Source organism: Homo sapiens, chromosome 11 (genome assembly GCF_000001405.40).
Source record: "Homo sapiens chromosome 11, GRCh38.p14 Primary Assembly".
Lineage (NCBI taxonomy): Eukaryota > Metazoa > Chordata > Mammalia > Primates > Hominidae > Homo > Homo sapiens.
Window position 1 is genome coordinate 5,821,732 of NC_000011.10, and position 17,894 is coordinate 5,839,625.

The 17,894-nt window shown below is 39.1% G+C and overlaps 1 annotated feature.

The window, feature by feature from the left end:
• Positions 4,270-4,839: an enhancer, noted in NCBI's record as "NANOG hESC enhancer chr11:5847231-5847800 (GRCh37/hg19 assembly coordinates)". NCBI's record gives its function as "activates a minimal SCP1, AML or CMV promoter by ChIP-STARR-seq in naive H9 embryonic stem cells {active_cell/tissue: H9 hESC(naive)}" and the evidence as "EXISTENCE:reporter gene assay evidence [ECO:0000049][PMID:30033119]".

Here is a 17,894-nt window from a genome sequence, read left to right on the forward strand (position 1 = left end):
CATAGAGAAACGTGGGTCCAGTGTTCACTATTTTTCAGTATTTTTTAAAGACAAGCTAGATTTATATGTTCTATGAAATCTCCCCATTTTAATTGTCAGCAAAATATGTGTTAAAATACCCTATAATTCACAGAAGAATGTCCAAGGGTTCTGTTTTTCCCAAGTCATCAGTTTAGGGTCTCCATTTAAAATGGATCTAAATGGGAACAATAGACTCCAGGTTCTTCGAAAGGAGCGGGAAGAATAAACACTGAAAAGCTTTCTGTTGGATACTACATTCACTATCTGGGTGAAAAAATCTACAGAAGCCCAAACTTCAGCATCATGTAATATAACCTTGTAACAAACCTACACATGTACACTCTGAATCTAAAGTAAAAATAAAATAAATAAATAAATTATAAAATGGATCTGAAAATATAATTGTCATGTTATTGACCAAGCAGGCAAACCATTAAGCTATTAGTATATATTATAATTTATTTATTCATTCACTCATCAATTCATTTTTTGAAACACTAATTTAAGCAATATTATTAGTCATATCTTAGATTTATTGAGAGGGAGGCAGATGATACGGTTCCTGGTTTCAAGATACTCAGAATCTGGACTGTAGCCAGGGATGTGTGAGAAGAAATACATATAAAAGAAAGGGGAGAGAGAAAAAATGAATGCAGTGTGAAGGAAATAAAAAGTTTGTAGGAAAGAATTGGGGGAAATATAACATCAGTTTCAGATTCAATTCATCTCAAGTGTTAAGTCCTCTGTCTTTTAATTTCTAGCCACTAGAGTTGGACAGGCTACATAATCTCTCTAAATTTTGACTTCCATATTTTCTTCCAAATGTGAAAAAGAAAATGTATCACAGAGATGTTTCTTCTAATTAAATGCTCTGATGCAAAAAAAGCTTGTAGCACAATCTCTGATGTATACTAACCATTCAATAAATTTTAGTTATTTTTATGAGCTATTAGTTTCAACTCTGATTCATTATGAAAATCATAGTTTGAGGATAAATCTTTCCAGTTGTACAGGCAGTGCACAGTGCAGTATCAGTTTTGTGTGGACAAGCTTTCTTTTCTTTTTTTTTTTTGAGATGGGGTCTCACTCTGTCACTCAGGTTAGGCTGCAGTGGCATCATCTCGGCTCACTGCAACCTCTGCCTTCTGGACTCAAGTGATCCTCCCACCTCAGCCTCCTGAGTAGTTGTGACACAGGCATGCCCCACCATGCCCAGCTAATTTTTTTGTATTTTTGGTAGAAACAGGGTTTCACTATGTTGCTCAGGCTGGTCTTGAACTCCTGAGCTCAGGAGATTCGCCTGCCTTGGCACCCCAAGGTGCTGGGATTACAGGTGTGAGCCACTATGCCCAGCCATGGGCAAGTTTTCACTGAGTTCTCACAAACATACTATCAATGTCAGCCAACAAGTTTTTCTGGGTACAATCATGTGCCTGACTCCATGTGCCTACTCCACGCTGAGAAATGTAAATGAAAACAAAAACACTAGCTAATTCCTTGTCTAGTAGAGGATATAAAATGCAATGGAATCATTATAAAATGATAACAAGGTAATTGTACATCACAGATGTTCACAAAACTCATGAATCCTGAGAGCATGATCATCAATATCTATTGGAGGTAGTGAGTAAAGATTTTACAGGGAAAATAGTATATAGGGTCAATCTCGAATTATATGTATAAGTGTCCTACAAGGAAAAGCAGATGGAAATTATTTGGAAAAAAATAAACAACCTAGCTCTAATATTAAGGCTGAACAAAGAATAGCAAGTTTAGGTTCACAAAGGTTTTTGTATATTCAGAGGTAAAAGAGAAAGGGTGAGGAGTAAAAAATGTGACTAGAAAGGTAGACAGAGGTCCTATCAGGAAGTGCTTTGTGAGTCTTGTCACAACTTCAGGCATGCCCCACATTGCTCTTCATCTGAGAGATACTAAGTATATTAGAATCACCCTTCAACTTTAAGCAGCTGTTGCCCCATTCGTTACCCTTCTGGACTGCTCACATCTCCGCCATAACCACTGCCTCTTAAATCCTGTCTCCCTCTGTTTTTTCCTCCCCAACTTTCTTCTTTCTTCCACTAAAACTCATTTTCTTAGTTTTTACTTGCTTTTTCATGCACCAACCCAGGTTCTTTTCAGAACTCAAGGCATTCCTGTGTAGAGATCCCTTATGTCTTCCTCCATACTTACTTACTTTCAAAGTGTTAACTGTTCTCACACACACAAACACACACACACACATACACACACACACACAGTTTCAAGATAATAGCAACAACAATAACAACAAAAAGTACATAGCATTTATTTTCCAGAAATGTATTACTGTATTGCATTCTCATTTAATCCTAAAACCAACTGTAAGGATGGTACTATTTTATGTCCAGTTTACAGATAAGCAAACTTACAGATAAGATAATCTCTCTGAGCCACAGAGAGGTTAATAAGTTAATGAAAGTCATATAATCAGCGAGTGGTAGGTCTTGAATTTAAACCCAGGCAGTCTGGTTCCAGTGTCTTTAATTTTAATGACTATAATACACTGGACCATTTCTACAAGGAATTTAAAAATTTAAAGAATTTGTAGTATGCACTTTATGATTGGGATGGTATAAAGTCCTCCAGTGATGGCCCGGCACTGGACAAAGTGACAGATTTTTTTTCAGAAAATGGCTTATTAGAATATGAAGGGCTGCCATTGAGGCAGGAAGATAGGGTCTGGAGGCAGGGAACATAAGGCTGATCCACACTTCAGCTATAGAGGAAATACCCTCTCCATAGGGCATACACTGAGTAAATGACTTTGTAACTTTACTTGATCCTCTTCATTTACATACAGTGTACCCCAACTAGTGGGTATTTAAACTCACAAAAACTCTGTAACAGGGCCTTTGAGCCTCTATGCTCAGGCTGCTTCTACACTGTGGAGTGTACCTTCATTTTCAATAAATCCCTTCATGCCTTCCTTGCTTTGTTTGTGCATTTTGTCCAATTCTTTGTTCAAGACGCCAAGAACCTGGACACCCTCCACTGTTAACATCAAATTCTGAAAGTGCCACATGGTATTACACAAATGTACATAGTCATAAGACTAAACATTTCTGCATTTTCTAACTCATCCTAACAAATGACTTCTACAAAAGCCACGAAGACAAATTAGAGGAGTTAAATACTTTATATTGCAACCTCTGAGTTTCTTCCCGCTATGAACAGAAGCATAATTTCTTGCTCAGTGATGACCACATCAAAGATTTATACCTTGAACACCATATTTAAAAGTGTACCTAGTGCTCCCAAGTTTTTCTTACTCTCATATTTTTATAGAGCACATTCATTTCTAAATCATTATAAAATTTTATATATTTATTATGTTAACTGTTATTGGATGTCCTCTCCAATCATGCTCTTTAAATTATTAGTACCACAAGGCCAGGGACACTGGTTCGTGCCTGTAATCCCAGCACTTTGGGAGGCCGAGGTGGGTGGATCACTTGAGGCCAGAGTTCAAGACCAGCCTGGCCAACATGTATTTTAGTCTCTACTAAAAATACAAAAATTAGCTGGGCATGGTGGCACATGCCTCTAATCCCAGTGATATGGTTTGGCTGTGTCCCTCTGGAAATCTCATCTTAAATTGTAACTTCCACAATTCCCACATGTCATGGGAGGAACCTGGTGAGAGGTACTTGAATCATGGGGGTGGATCTTTCCCATGCTGTTCTCATGATCGTGAGTATGTCTCAGGAGATTTGATGGTTGTAAAAATGGAAGTTTCCCTGCACAAGCTCTCTTCTCTTGTTTGCCACCAGGTGAGACATGCATTTCACCTTCCACCATGATTGTGAGGCCTCCCCAGCCACGTGGAGCTGTGAGTCCATTAAACCTCTTTCTTTTGTAAATTGCCCAGTCTCAAGTATGTCTTTATCAGCAGCATGAAAGCAGACTAATACAGTGAACTGGTACCAGAACAGTGGAGTGCTGCTGAAAAGATACCTGAAAATGTAGAAGCAACTTTGGAACTGGGTAACAGGCAGAGGTTGGAACAGTTTGGAGGGCTCAGAAAAAGACAGAAAAATGTGGGAAGTTTGGAACTCCCTAGAGGCTTGTTGCATGGCTTTGACCAAAATGCTGATAATGATATGGACAGTGAAATCCAGGCTGTGGGGCTCTCAGATGGAGATGAGAAACTTGTTGGAAACTGGAGCAAAGGTGACTCTTGTTATGTTTTAGCAAAGAGACACAGCATTTGGCCCCTGCCCTAGAGATTTATAAAACTTTGAACCAGAGAGATGATTTAGGGTATCTGGCAGAAGAAATTTCTAAGGAGCAAAAAATTCAAGATGTGACTTGGGTGCTGTTAAACGCATTCAGTTTTAAAAAGGAAACAGAGCATAAAAGTTCAGAAAATTTGCAGCCTGATAATGAGATAAAAAAAGAAAAACTCATTTTCTGAGGAGAAATTCAAGCTGGCTGCAGAAATTTGCATGAGTAACGAGGAGCCAAATGTTAATCACCAAGACAATGGGGAAAATGTCTCCAGGGCATGTCAGAGACCTTTGAAGCAGCCCTTCCCATCACAGGCTGGGAGGTTTAGGAAGAAAAAAATGGTTTCATGGGACATGCCCAGGGTCCCTTTGCTGTGTGCAGTCTAGGGATTTGGTGTCTGTATCCCAGCTGCTCCACCCATGACTAAAAGAGGCCAAGGTACGGCTTGGGCTGTTTCTTCAGAGGGTGGAATCCCCAAGCCTTGGCAGTTTCCACATGGTGTTGAGACTGTGGGTGTACAGAAGTCAAGAACTGAGGTTTGGGAACCTCCATCTAGATTTCAGAGGATGCCTGGATGTCCAGGCAGAAATTTGCTGCATGGGTGGGGTCCTCATGGAGAAGCTCTGCTATGGCAGTGTGGAAGGGAAATGTGGGGTTGGAGCCACCACACAGAGTCCCTACTGGGGCACTGCCTAGTGGAGCTGTGAGAAGAGGGCCACAGTCCTCCAGATCCCCCAGAATGGTAGATCCACCAACAGCTTGCACTGTGCACCGGGAAAAGCTGCAGACACTCAATGCTGGCCCATGAAAACAGCCAGGAGGGGGCCTACACCCTGCAAAGCCACAGGGGCAGAGCTGCCCAAGACCATGTGAATCTACCTCTTGCATCAGCATGACCTGGATGTGAGGCAAGGAGTCAAAGGAGATCATTTTGGAGATTTAAGATTTGACTGCCCTGCTGGCTTTTGGAATTGCATGGGGCCTGTAGCCCCTTTGTTTTGGCCAATTTCTCCCATTTGGAATGGCTGTATTTACCCAATGCCGGTACCCGCATTGTATCTAGGAAGTAACTAACTTGGTTTTGATTTTACTGGCTCATAGGTGGAAGGGACTTGCCTTGTCTCAGGTGAGATTTTGGACTGTGGACTTTTGAGTTAATGCTGAAATGAGTTAAGACTTTGGGGGACTGTTGGGAAGGCATGACTGGTTTTGAAATGTGAGGACATGAGATTTAGGAGGGGTCAGGGTCAGAATGATATGGCTTGGCTGTGTCCCCACTCAAATCTCATCGTGAATTGTAACTTCCACAATTCCTACATGGGAGGAACCTGGAGGGAGGTAATTGAACCATGGGGGTGGGTCCTTTCTGTGCTGTTCTCATGATAGTGAATAAGTCTCAGGAGGTCTGATGGTTTTAAAAATGGGAGTTTCCCTGCACAAGCCCTCTTCTCTTGTCTGCCACCGTGTTGGACATGCCTTTCACCTTCCGCCATGATTGTGAGGCCTCCCCAACCATGTGGAACTGTAAGTCCATTAAACCTCTTTCTTTTGTAAATTGCCCAGTCTCAGGTATATTTTTATCAGCAGTATGAAAACCGACTAATACACCTAGCTTCTTGGGAGGCTGAGGCATGAGAATCACTTGAACTTGGGAGGCAGAGGTTGCAACGAGCCAAGACTGTGCCACTGCACTCCAGCCTAGGCAACAGAGTGAGATTGTCTCACAAAAAAAAAAAAAAGGAGAAAAATAATAAAAAAAAAAGATTATTAGCACCTAGCACCACAAAGACAGGGATCTTTACCTGATTTGCTTACTGAAGTGTCTCAAATACCAGGATAATTGTCTGCTATGTGGTAGATGTAATGAAAGCCTATCACAAGGGCTCTAACTTAGACAAGGTGGGTAGAAAACTCATTATTGAGAAAAGAACATTCAAATTGCCACTTGAAAGTAGAGAAGGAGCCAACTAGGCAAAGGGAATAAAGATCTTAATGTGACATTTTTTAAAAAGTGTGATTATATTGTAAATTTTTATAGCACTCATTTTATAATATATTATGAACTTTTTTAGATTTCACGTATAAATGAGATTATACAGTAGTTGTCTTTCTGTGCCTTTTTTCACTTAAGCATAATGTCCTCCAAGTTCACTCACATTGTCAAAAATGACAGGGTTTCCTTCATTTTTAAGGATGAATAGTATTTGTGTGTATGTATCACATTTTCTTTATCTGTTAACCTGTCAATGGACACCTGCATTGTTTCCACCTCTTGGATATTTTGAATAATGTAACTATGAATATGGTTGTGTAGACATCTTTTTGACATATTAATTTCATTTCCTTTTGATATAATCCCAGAAGTGGGATTGCTGGATCTTATGGTATTCTATTTTTTATATTTTGAGGAACCTCCATACTTTTTTTTTTCCATAATAGCTATATTAGTTTACACTTTCATCAACAATGTACCAGAGTTTTTTTTCTTCATAGTCTCATCAGCACTTGTTCTCTTTGTCCTTTTAAAAAATGTGAAGTCAAGGTATCTTTTCTGATTTTGCTGTGTAAGATGTCATACTCAGAAAATAGCTATGTCATTTTCATGATGAAAATGTTTCTATTTTACAAATTTTGACTCAATCTAGAGTTTTTCAAACACCCTGTAGCAGCTACTCGTTGGATAAAATTAGAGAAGGGGAAAAAGTTTCAGGAATTAACCTCTCTACAGGAAAAATTCAGTAGAGATGTTAGTGGTCATTTAGCCATTTGCAGTTTTGGGGCAGCTATTCCAGATTTGAGATGAAAACAAGGCCAAGAAATAAAGTCAAGTTCAGGGACCCTATGGTGTTCAAGCCTGTGATCTTAGCCCTTACTAGATAGTCTCACCAATATTAGGAGCTGTGTTGTAGTGAAAGCACCTGTTTGGACTCAAGTTTTGCTTACTGCTTCATGAATTCTGAATGTGAGTACTCTGTATTTAAAAATATGAAGACTTTGCTAATATGAAAGAGGAGTAGATTCTAAGAAATTTGAGAATAAGGGCTATATTGTACAATTTTTATTTTAAATGATAATTCTTTAAAGACACATTTAACATTCAATTATTCGTAATCACTGATTGTAGAATGTGATGAATGTTTTAGAAAATAAACCTCAAGCCTAAAAAAGACGTTCTATGAAGAAGAATAAATGTATGTTGTCAAAATCCTGAAGATGCTATGAGATAAAAAAAATTTAAATAAGAAGAATTAAAAGAAAAAAATAAAATAATTTCTGAGAAAAGATTGTAAGACACCAACATAGATTTTAAAATCCATACATTTCTCAGAGGAAGTTTAAAAATCATTTTCTGGGAATATTTTAGACCTACTACAATATTAAGACAAAAAGAAGTTCTATTAAAGAAATTCAAGGCCATTCCAAATGATAGAATTTTTAGCAGCTGTAGGGTGATTTCCCATGATATAGACACATGGTGTCAGGTCCTGGAAGAAGCACAGCACTCAACAGGACATGCTGCCTCTCCTGGAAAAGACAGGAATCTTTTTATTGTTAATTCCTGAGAAATAGCCAGATAAAGCAGAGCACCCTGCAGTGGGATGGGGAATAGCTACACAAATAATCTGCTCACAGTTGTTCAAAGTGGAGAGGAAAATTAGTGGCAATTCCTCAGGGATCTAGAACTAGAAATACCATTTGACCCAGCCATCCCATTACTGGGTACATACCCAAAGGATTATAAATCATGCTGCTATAAAGACACATGCACACGTATGTTTATTGCGGCACTATTCACAATAGCAAAGACTTGGAACCAAGCCAAATGTCCAACAATGATAGACTGGATTAAGAAAATGTGGCATATCTACACCATGGAATACCATGCAGCCATAAAAAATGATGACTTCATGTCCTTTGTAGGGACGTGGATGAAGCTGGAAGCCATCATTCTCAGCAAACTATCGCAAGGACAAAAAACCAAACACCGTATGCTCTCACTCATAGGTGGGAATTGAACAATGAGAACACATGGACACAGGAAGGGGAACATCACACACCGGGGCCTGTTGTGGGGTGGGGGCAGTGGGGAGGGATAGCATTAGGAGATATACCTAATGCTAAATGACGAGTTAATGGGTGCACCACACCAACATTGCACATGTATACATATGCAACAAACCTGCATGTTGTGCACATGTACCCTAAAACTTAAAGTATAATAATAATTAAAAAAAACAGTAATGAGACCATGTCCTTTGCAGGGATATGGACGGAGCTGGAAGCCATTATAAAAAAAAAAAAAAAAAATTAAGAAAAAGCATCCCAGAGACTGAAAGGAGAAATTAAACATCAGAGTAGCAAAAAAGTGATTACCTAAGTGTTCAGCATTACATCCACAGACATAATTGGGAAGGCCACTTACCTTAAAAGGTAAGGGAGGATAAGTAGCATGCCTTGTTAAAAGAAGTAATTCAACATGTTTTAGATTCTACCCACCATGCCCCATCCCCAACACAATTACCAACCTAACCAGCAAAAAGAAAGCAGGATGAACTTGAAAAGTAGTTATTTATCGCAGCGATCTCCAACCTTTTTGGCACCAGGGACTTGTTTTGTGGAAGACAATTTTTCCAGGGATAGGGGAGCAGAGGCTGCGGTTGGTTTCAGGATGAAACTGTCCCACCTCAGATCATAAGGCACTAGTTAGATTCTGCTGAGCGGCTTGGTATTCACCTTTCTCTGGTGCCTCCTTAAGTAGTTTAATAATTGACCTTCTGAATTCTTTTTCTGGCAATTTAGATTTCTTGGTTTGCATTTATTGCTGGTGAGCTATTGTGATCTTTTGGGGTGTTATGAAACAGTGTTTTGTCATATTACTGGAATTGTTTTTCTGGTTCCTTCTCATTTGGGTAAATTATGTCAGAGGGAAGATCTGGGGCTCAAGGCTGCTCCTTAGATTCTTTTGTCTCATGGGGTGCTCCTTTCATGTGGCACTCTCCCTCTTTCCCTAGGCATTGGGCTTCTTGAGAGCCAAACTGCAGAGATTGTTATTTCTCTTCTGCGTAGCCACCCAGCAGGGCTACTGGGCTCCAGGCTGGTCCTGGGGAGTGTCTGCAAAGAGTCCTGTGATGTGATCCATCTTCAGGTCTCCCAACTGTGGATACCAGCAACTGCTCCAATGGAGGTAGCAGTGGAGTGAAGTGGACTCTGTGAGGGTCCTTGTTTACAGTTTTGTTTAGTATGCTGGTTTTTTTGTTGGTTGGCCTCCAGTCAGGAGGTGGTACTTTCAAAAGAACATCAGCTGTGGTAGTATAGGGAGGACGCAAGCTGATATATATACAGGGAGAGAGGATACTAGCTGTGGTAGTATAGGGAGGATACAAGCCCCTCCTTAGGCGGGGCTTGCTCTGGCCTCTGTAGGGGAAGAGGGGGTTCTCAGGCCAGTGGAGTTATGTTCCCAGGGGGATTATAGCTGCCTCTGCTGTGTCATACAGGTTGCCAGGGAAGTGGGAGAAAGGTGGCAATGACAGGCCTCACCCAGCTCCCACACAGCTCGAAAGGCCAGCCCAACTTCCACCATTCATCCCTAACAGCACCGAGTTTATTTCAAGGCAGCCGGCGAGCAGGGCTGAGAGCTTGCCCCAGGCTACAAGCCTCCCCACTGAGAAAGGAAGCAGGGCTTTCAGGTTTCATGCCTCCCAGAAACTGCTGCAGTTTCTGTGCTCATATCTGTGATCCCTGTTTGTCTCCTCCCCCAGATTCTATCCAAGAAACTTTGCATTTGGTTGAAATTATTACAAAGTTAAGCTGAAAGTTTCCTTCTCCCTGTGGTCTTTCCCCAATTCCGCTGGCAGTCAGGAATGGCTTTCCTGGGGACTGAGAGTGCCCACAGGGCTCTTTTGGCTGCTTCCTCTACCCTTTTATTTCACTCGGCTCTCTAAATGTGTTTCAGCTCCAGTTAAGGTCAAATCCTTCTCCCATGAACTGGACCTTCAGTTTCCCCAGTGAGGATGTGTGTTTGGGGGCAGACATTTCCCCTCACACTTTGGGCACTCAAAGTTTTTTGGCTGTCTCACAGAGCCTGCAGCGGTAAACCTTTGTACACTGTTGGTAGAAAGGTAAATTAGTACTGCCCTTATGGAAAATTTTATAGTGGCTCCTCAAAAAACTAAAAATAGATTTACCATGTGATCCAACATATAGGTATTTACCCAAAAGGTTTGAAATCAGTTTGTCAAAGACATGTGTGAACTCCCATGTCTACTGCAGCACTATTCATGTTAGCCACTTTACAGAATCAACATAGGTGTCCATCAACAGATGAATTAATAAAGAAAATGTGGGAGGCATACATAATAGAATACTATTCAGCCTTAAAAAAGAAGAGAATTCTGTCATCTGCAACAACACAAATGCAGCTGGATAACATTATGCTAAGTGGTATCAGCCAGGCACAGGAAGACATATACCGCATGTACTTACTTACATGTGGAATCTAAAACAATAGAACTCATAGAAGCAGAGAGTAGAATGGCGGTTACAGAGGCCGGGCTTGGGGGTAGTGGGGAGATGACGGTCAAAGCATACAGAATCTCAATTAGAAAGGAGGAAATTTTTTTAGTTCTCTTACACCGTATGATGAATATAGTTAAGAATAGAGCATTGCGCATTTCAAAATTGCTAAGAACATAAATTTCAAATCTGCTCACCACAAAAATGTTAAGTATTTGAAGTGGTAGATATGTCAACTATCTTGATTTAATTATTCCACCATGGATTTGTAAATCAAAATGTCACTTTGTACCCCATAAATTTATACAATTATAAACTGTCAATTTATAATAGAAAATTTAAGAAGAAAAATGAGTGCAAATATATTGGTTATCTTAGTGTATTTTCAAGAAAGATATTTTTAGAATATATTTAATTATGTAATCATCATTGCCTAAAAATTTCAGAAGATTAGGGGAAAATCAAAGAATAGTTTGTATGTTGATGTCTCTCTCTCTCTCTTTTTTTTTTTTTTTTTGGTGATACAGTCTCACTCTGTTGCCCAGCCTGGAGTGCAGTGACACGATCGTGGTTCACTGAAACCTTGACCTCCCAGGCTTAGGTGATTCTTTCACCTCAGCCTCCTGAGTAGCTGGTAGCTGGGACTATTAGTGTGCACCACCATGTCTGTCTAATTTTTTGTGTTTTTAGTAGAGATGGGGTTTTGCCATGTTGCCCAGGCTGGACTCAATGATAGCTCTCTTTAAGAGTTTTTTATGAAAATATAATAGGAGGAAGGAAAATAGACGGTTCATGTCATTTGAATCAGATGGAACAGTATGTGAAAATTTCTAGTGGTGAGAGAGACCATAATGCATTTTTAAAATGCAAGCAATTCATTGCTACTAAGATATAGAATGTGGATAGTGTTTTAGTGAATGATAAAGAAGTAAGATAGAGTCAGATCATATAGGATCTGCATGCCAGACTAAGGTTTTGGATTCTATACTGAAGATAATAAGAAGCCAAATTAAGTGTTGCTAAGCACTGGGGAAATGTAAGATTCACATTTTCTCTTGCCAAAAGTAAAACGAGGGAACCCAGAAAGATGTTTTATTTCTGTATTTCCTTCCCTGTTCCAGACTGTCAGTTTATATGGGCTATATCTTATATCTATATCACTATTGTCTAGAATAGCAACTAACATAATGTTGGCACTTGATACGTTTGCTGTTGGATTAAGAATTGTAAGTGTGATTTGAAGCAGCATGGCATCTGGTATTGCCACTTTCCTCTAGATATTCTTCAGATGTCCTCCTTCCCAAATAAAAGTAATGGAGCACTCTTGTTATTATTTTGTCATCTTTTCTGAGGAATTGATGTACAATAAGCTTTGTATATTAAATGTAAATTGATAAGTTTAAGATACATTTATAGGCATGAAAGCATCACCACAATTAAGTTAATGAACACATTCATGACCTTCGGAAGTTTCCTTGTACACCTTTTAAAATAATATTTTAATCTATTTTTTATTTTAAACTATTTTAGAAGTTTATGATAGCAGGTCTCAAGATGGCCCTAAAGACACCCTTCTTCTCAACATTCACACCCTCACGTAGTTCCCTCCTACAATCATACCAGGGCTGCTCTGTGTGACCAATAAAACGTGGCAGAAGTGTTGGGGAGTGATGTCAGCAAGATGATGGAATTAGAGTTTTCTATTGTCATCTGACTACCAGCATTGATTTTGACAATAACTCATGAGCAAGAGAATCCTTGTGTGAGTCTGGGAGTCCAGTGAAAAAGTTCTAGCACATTGTTGGAGCAAAAAATCTGAGAGTAGGCGCATTGAAGAGAGTAAAATGAAACATTTTCCCTTTAGCAGTGATACCCTTTTTCTAAGGCAGCATAGCTCAATGCCAAGAAAGCCCCTTTGGCAAGCAATTCCTCTCACGAGGGAAAGTGAGTGTGTAGTGAATGATCACCTGGTTTCCTGAGCTGTACAGGACACTAGTTGCTGGGTGTCGCTGCCTCTCTTCCTTGCTCCCAGCCTTCCCCAGCCACTCAGCCATGCTAAGCCCCTCATTATTCTGAGTGGGACTAGAAAGAGGTGGACCTCTTGGACAGTGGGGAAAATAGGGAGATGTTGTTGAGGGTGTACAGACTTTCAGCTATAGATGAATAAATTCTGGAGATCTAATGTATAGCATGGTAACTATAGTTAAGAATAATGTATTGTATATTTGAAATCTGCTGAGAGTAGGTTTTAAATGTTCTCTTCAAACACAAACACACACACACACATACACTCAAAGGTAAATATGTGAGGTGATGGATATATTAATTAGCTTGACTGTGGTTCTCATTTTTCAGTATATGCATATATTAAACATTACATTGTACATATTAAATATATGCAATTTTCATTTGTCAATCATACCTCAATAAACCTGGAGCAAAAGAAAATTAAACTAACTGTTGGTATGTCACTTCTGAGATTAGATTATAGTAGATACTCTATATTTCACCTCTCTCTTTCTCTCTTTCTTCCCTCTTTCCTCCAGCCCCACTGTGGTTCACTCACTTTTGGAGAAGCTGTGTTATGTCCAGATCTAATGAGAGGCTCACCAGATAATGAAGTGAAGCTTCCTCCCAAGAGCCATCTGAATGAGCTTTGAGGAACACCCCCCGGCCCTGATCAAGTCTTCAGACACTTCAGGCAGGTCCAACAACTAGTTGTAACTTCTCAAGAAAACCTGAGCTACACCTCCCTAGTTAAACCTTTACTGGATTCCTGACTCTCAGAAAATGTGTGAGATGATAACATCTCTTGTTTTAAATTGATTAATTCTGCGGTGATTGTTATACAATAAAAGATAACCAATACATTGTTTTCAATTCTTTAACTACATTTTAACTATTTTTAAAAAGATAATATCTCCACTAATTTTGAAAAAAAACAACATAAGCCCAGAGGAGTTTATAAAGTCTTTATCACTGACTTTTGTTCCCCAGATTCTCTTTTTTTTTTTTGACCTTACCCCCCCATCTTTTTTTAAATTATACTTTAAGTTCTAGGGCACATGTGCACAATGTGCAGGTTTGTTACATAGGTAGGTATACATGTGTCATGTTGGTTGCTGCACCCACCAACTCATCATTTACATGAGGTATTTCTCCTAATGCTATCCCTCCCCCAGCCCCCCATGCCACGACTGGCCCCAGTGTGTGATGTTCCCCTCCCTGTGTCCATGTGTTCTCATTGTTCAATTCCCACCTATGAGTGAGAACATGCGGTGTTTGGTTTTCTGTCCTTGTGATAGTTTGCTGAGAATGATGGTTTCCAGCTTCATCCATGTCCCTACAAAGGACATGAACTCATCCCTTTTTATGGCTGCATAGTATTCCATGGTGTATATGTGCCACATTTTCTTAATCCAGTCTATCATTGATGGACATTTGGGATTTGGGTTGGTTCCAAGTCTATGCTATTGTGCATGGTGGGAGTATAAATTAGTTCAAGCATTGTGGAAGACAGTGTGACGATTCCTCAAGGATCTAGAACTAGAAATACCATTTGACCCAGCGATCCCATTACTAGGTATATACCCAAAGGATTATAAATCATGCTACTATAAAGACACATGCATGCATATGTTTATTGTGGCAGTATTCACAGATTCTCTTTTTTTCTATCCATGAACATGGAATGTTTTTCCATTTGTTTGTATCATCTCTGATTTCTTTGAGCTGTGTTTGTAAGTTTCATTGTAGGGATCTTTTCCCTTCTTGCCTAGCTGTATTGCTAGGTATTTTATTCTTTTTATGACAATTGTGAATGAGATTACATTTCTTATTTGGCTCTTGGCTTGGATGCTGTTGGTGTATATGAGTGCTAGTAATTTTTGTATATTGATTTCATGTTGTGAAACTATGCTAAAGTTGTTTATCAGCTGAAGGAGCTTTTGGGCTGAGACTGTGGGGTTTTCTAGAAATAGAATCATGTCCTCTGCCAGCAGGGGTAGTTTGTCTTCCTCTTTTCCTATCTGGATGCCTTTTATTTATTTCTCTTGCCTGATTTCTCTGGCCAGGACTTTCAATACTATGTTGAATAGGAGTGGTGAGAGAAGGCATCCTTGTCTTGTGCTGGTTTTCAAGGGGGAATGCTTCTAGCTTTTACCCATTCAGCATAATGTTGGCTGTGGATTTGTCATAGATGGCTCATATTATTTTGAAGTATGTTTTTTCAATACTTAATTTATTAAGGGTTTTTACCATGAAAGCATGTTATATGTTATCAAGCACTTTTCCTGCATCTATTGAAATAATCATGTAGTTTTTGTCTTTAGTTTTGTTTGTCTAATGAATCGCATTTATTGATTGTGGATGTTAAACAAACTTTGCATCCCAGTGATAAAGCCTACTTGATCATAATGTGTTAGCTTTTTCATGTGCTGCTGGGTTCGATTTGCCAGTATTTTATTGAAAATTTTGGGATCTATGTTCATCAGGGATATTGACCTGAAGTTTTCTTTTTTTGTTGTGTCTCTGCCAAGTTCCGGTATCAGGATGATGCTGGCCTCATAGATGAGTTGGGAAGGACTCCCTCCTCAATATTTTGCAATAGTTTCAGTAAGAATGGTACCAGCTCTTCTTTGTACATCTAGTAAAATTCAACAGTGAATCCATCTGGTCCTGAGCATTTTTTTTGGTAGGCTATTTATTACTGATTCAATTTTGGAACTTACTATCATTTTGTTCAGGATTCAATTTCTTTGTGGTTCAGACTTGGAAGGGTGTATGTGGCCAGAAATTTATCCATTTCTTACAGATTTTCTAGTTTCTGAGCATAGAGGTATTCATAATAGTCTTTGATGGCTATTCATATTTCTATGGGGTCAGTAGTAATATTTCCTTTGCCATTTCTAATTGTGTTTATTTGGGTGAATATATATTTAGGTTAGATCTTCTTGTTCAATTTAACCTTTACCATTATGTAATGCCTGTCTTTGTCTTTTTTTATCTTTTGGTCTGAAAATAGGATTGCAATCCCTGCTTCTATTAAATTTTCATTTGCTTGGTTGATTTTTCTCCATTCCCCTTTTATTTATTTATTGAGCCTGAGTGTCATTTCATGTGAGATGAATCTCTTAAAGACAGCATAGCTTTGGCTCTTGCTTCTTTATCCAGCTTGACACTCTGCCTTTTAATTGGGGCTTTTAGCCCATTTACATTAAAAGTTAGTATGATATGTATGGATTAGATTCTGTCACTGTGTTGTTAGCTGGTTATTATGCAGACTTTTTTATGTGGTTGCTTTATAGTGTCACTGGTCTATGTACTTAAGTGCATTTTTGAATTAGATGGTAAGAGTGTTTCCATATTTAGCACTCCTTTCAGGAGCTCTTGTATGGCAAATCTGGGGGTTTTAAATTCTCTCAGGATTTGCTTATCTAAAAATAATCTTATTTCTTCTTCACTTATAAAGTTTACTTTGGCTGGGTATGAAATTCTTGGTTGGAGATTTTTGTCTTTAAGAATGTCGACGTAGACTTTCAATCTTTTCTGGCTTCTAAGGTTTCTGCTGAAAGGTATTTTGTTAGCTTGATGGGGTTTCCTTTGTAGGTGACCTGCCCTTTCTCTCTAGCTGCCTTTAACATTCTTTCTTTTACTAAAACCTTGGGAAACCCGATGATTATGTGACTTGGGGACGATCTTCTTATGTAGTACCTTGCAGGGGTTCTCTGCATTTCCTAACTTTGAATGTTGTCTTCTCTAGCAAGGTTGCTGAAATTTTCATGGATGATACCATAAAATATGTTTTCAAAGTTGTTTGCTTTTCTCCCAGTGTCTTTCAGGGATGCCAGTTGCCAGTGACTCATAGTTTTGGCCTCTTTATGTAATTCCTTATTTCTTGAGGGTTTTGTTTATTCCTTTTTACTCTTTTTTCTTTACGTTGGTCTGACTGTCTTATTTCAGAGATCCAGTCTTCAAGCTCTGAGATTCTTTCCCCATCTTGGTCTATTCTGCTGTTAATACTTGTGACTGCATTCTGAAGTTTTTGCAGTGTGTTTTTTAGCTCCATCAGATCAGTTACATTCTTTTTTATACTGTCTATTTCATCTGTCAGCTTCTGTATCATTTTATTGTGATTCTTAGCTTCCTTGGATTGGGTTTCAACATTATCCTTAATCTCAATGATTTTATCTATCTATCGATCTATCTATCTATCTATCTATCTATCTATCTATCTATCTATCTCTCCTGGATGGCATTTTCAGGCACTAGGAAAGTCATAGCCATGCTGCACAGGCCTTTAGATCTTATAATATTCACGTCATATATCTGGGAAATATATGAAGAAATGTATACCTATACACAATGGATTATTATTCAGTCATGAAAAAGGATGAAAAAGGATGACATCCTGTTATTTCAAACAACATGGGCCAGGTGCCGTGGCTCACGCCAACACTTTGGGAGGCCTAGGCAGGCGGATCAACTGAGGTCAGGAGTTTGAGACCAGCCGGGCCAACATGGCAAAATCCTGTCTCTACTAAAAATAGAAAAATTAGCTGGGCTTGTTGGCGGGCGCCTGTAATCCCAGCTACTGGGGAGGTTGAGGTGGGAGAATCGCTTGAATCTAGGAGGCGGAGGCAAAGGTTATAGTGAGCCAAGATCACACAGCTGCACTCCAGCCTGGGCAACAGAGGGAGGTCTCAAAAAAAAAAAAAAAGAAAAGAAAAGAAAAAGAAAGAAAGAAAGGAACGAACAAACAACGTGGATGGAACTGGATGACATTATGTTAAGTGAAATAAATCACGCAAATATCACACGTCCTCACTCTTATGTGGAGCTTAAAAAAAATTGATCTCATGGAGACAGAGTAGAATGATGGTTACCACAGGCTGTAAAGGGTAGTGAGGAGGGCAGGATAGAGGGATTGGTTAATAGGTACAAAAATACAGTTACAAGGAATAAGATCTAGCATTCAGTAGCATAATTGAGTGACTATAGTTAACAATACTGTATTATATATTTCAAAATAACTAGCAGAGTAGAAGTAGAATTTTCCTAACACAAAAAAATTATAAATTCTTGAGGTGACAGAT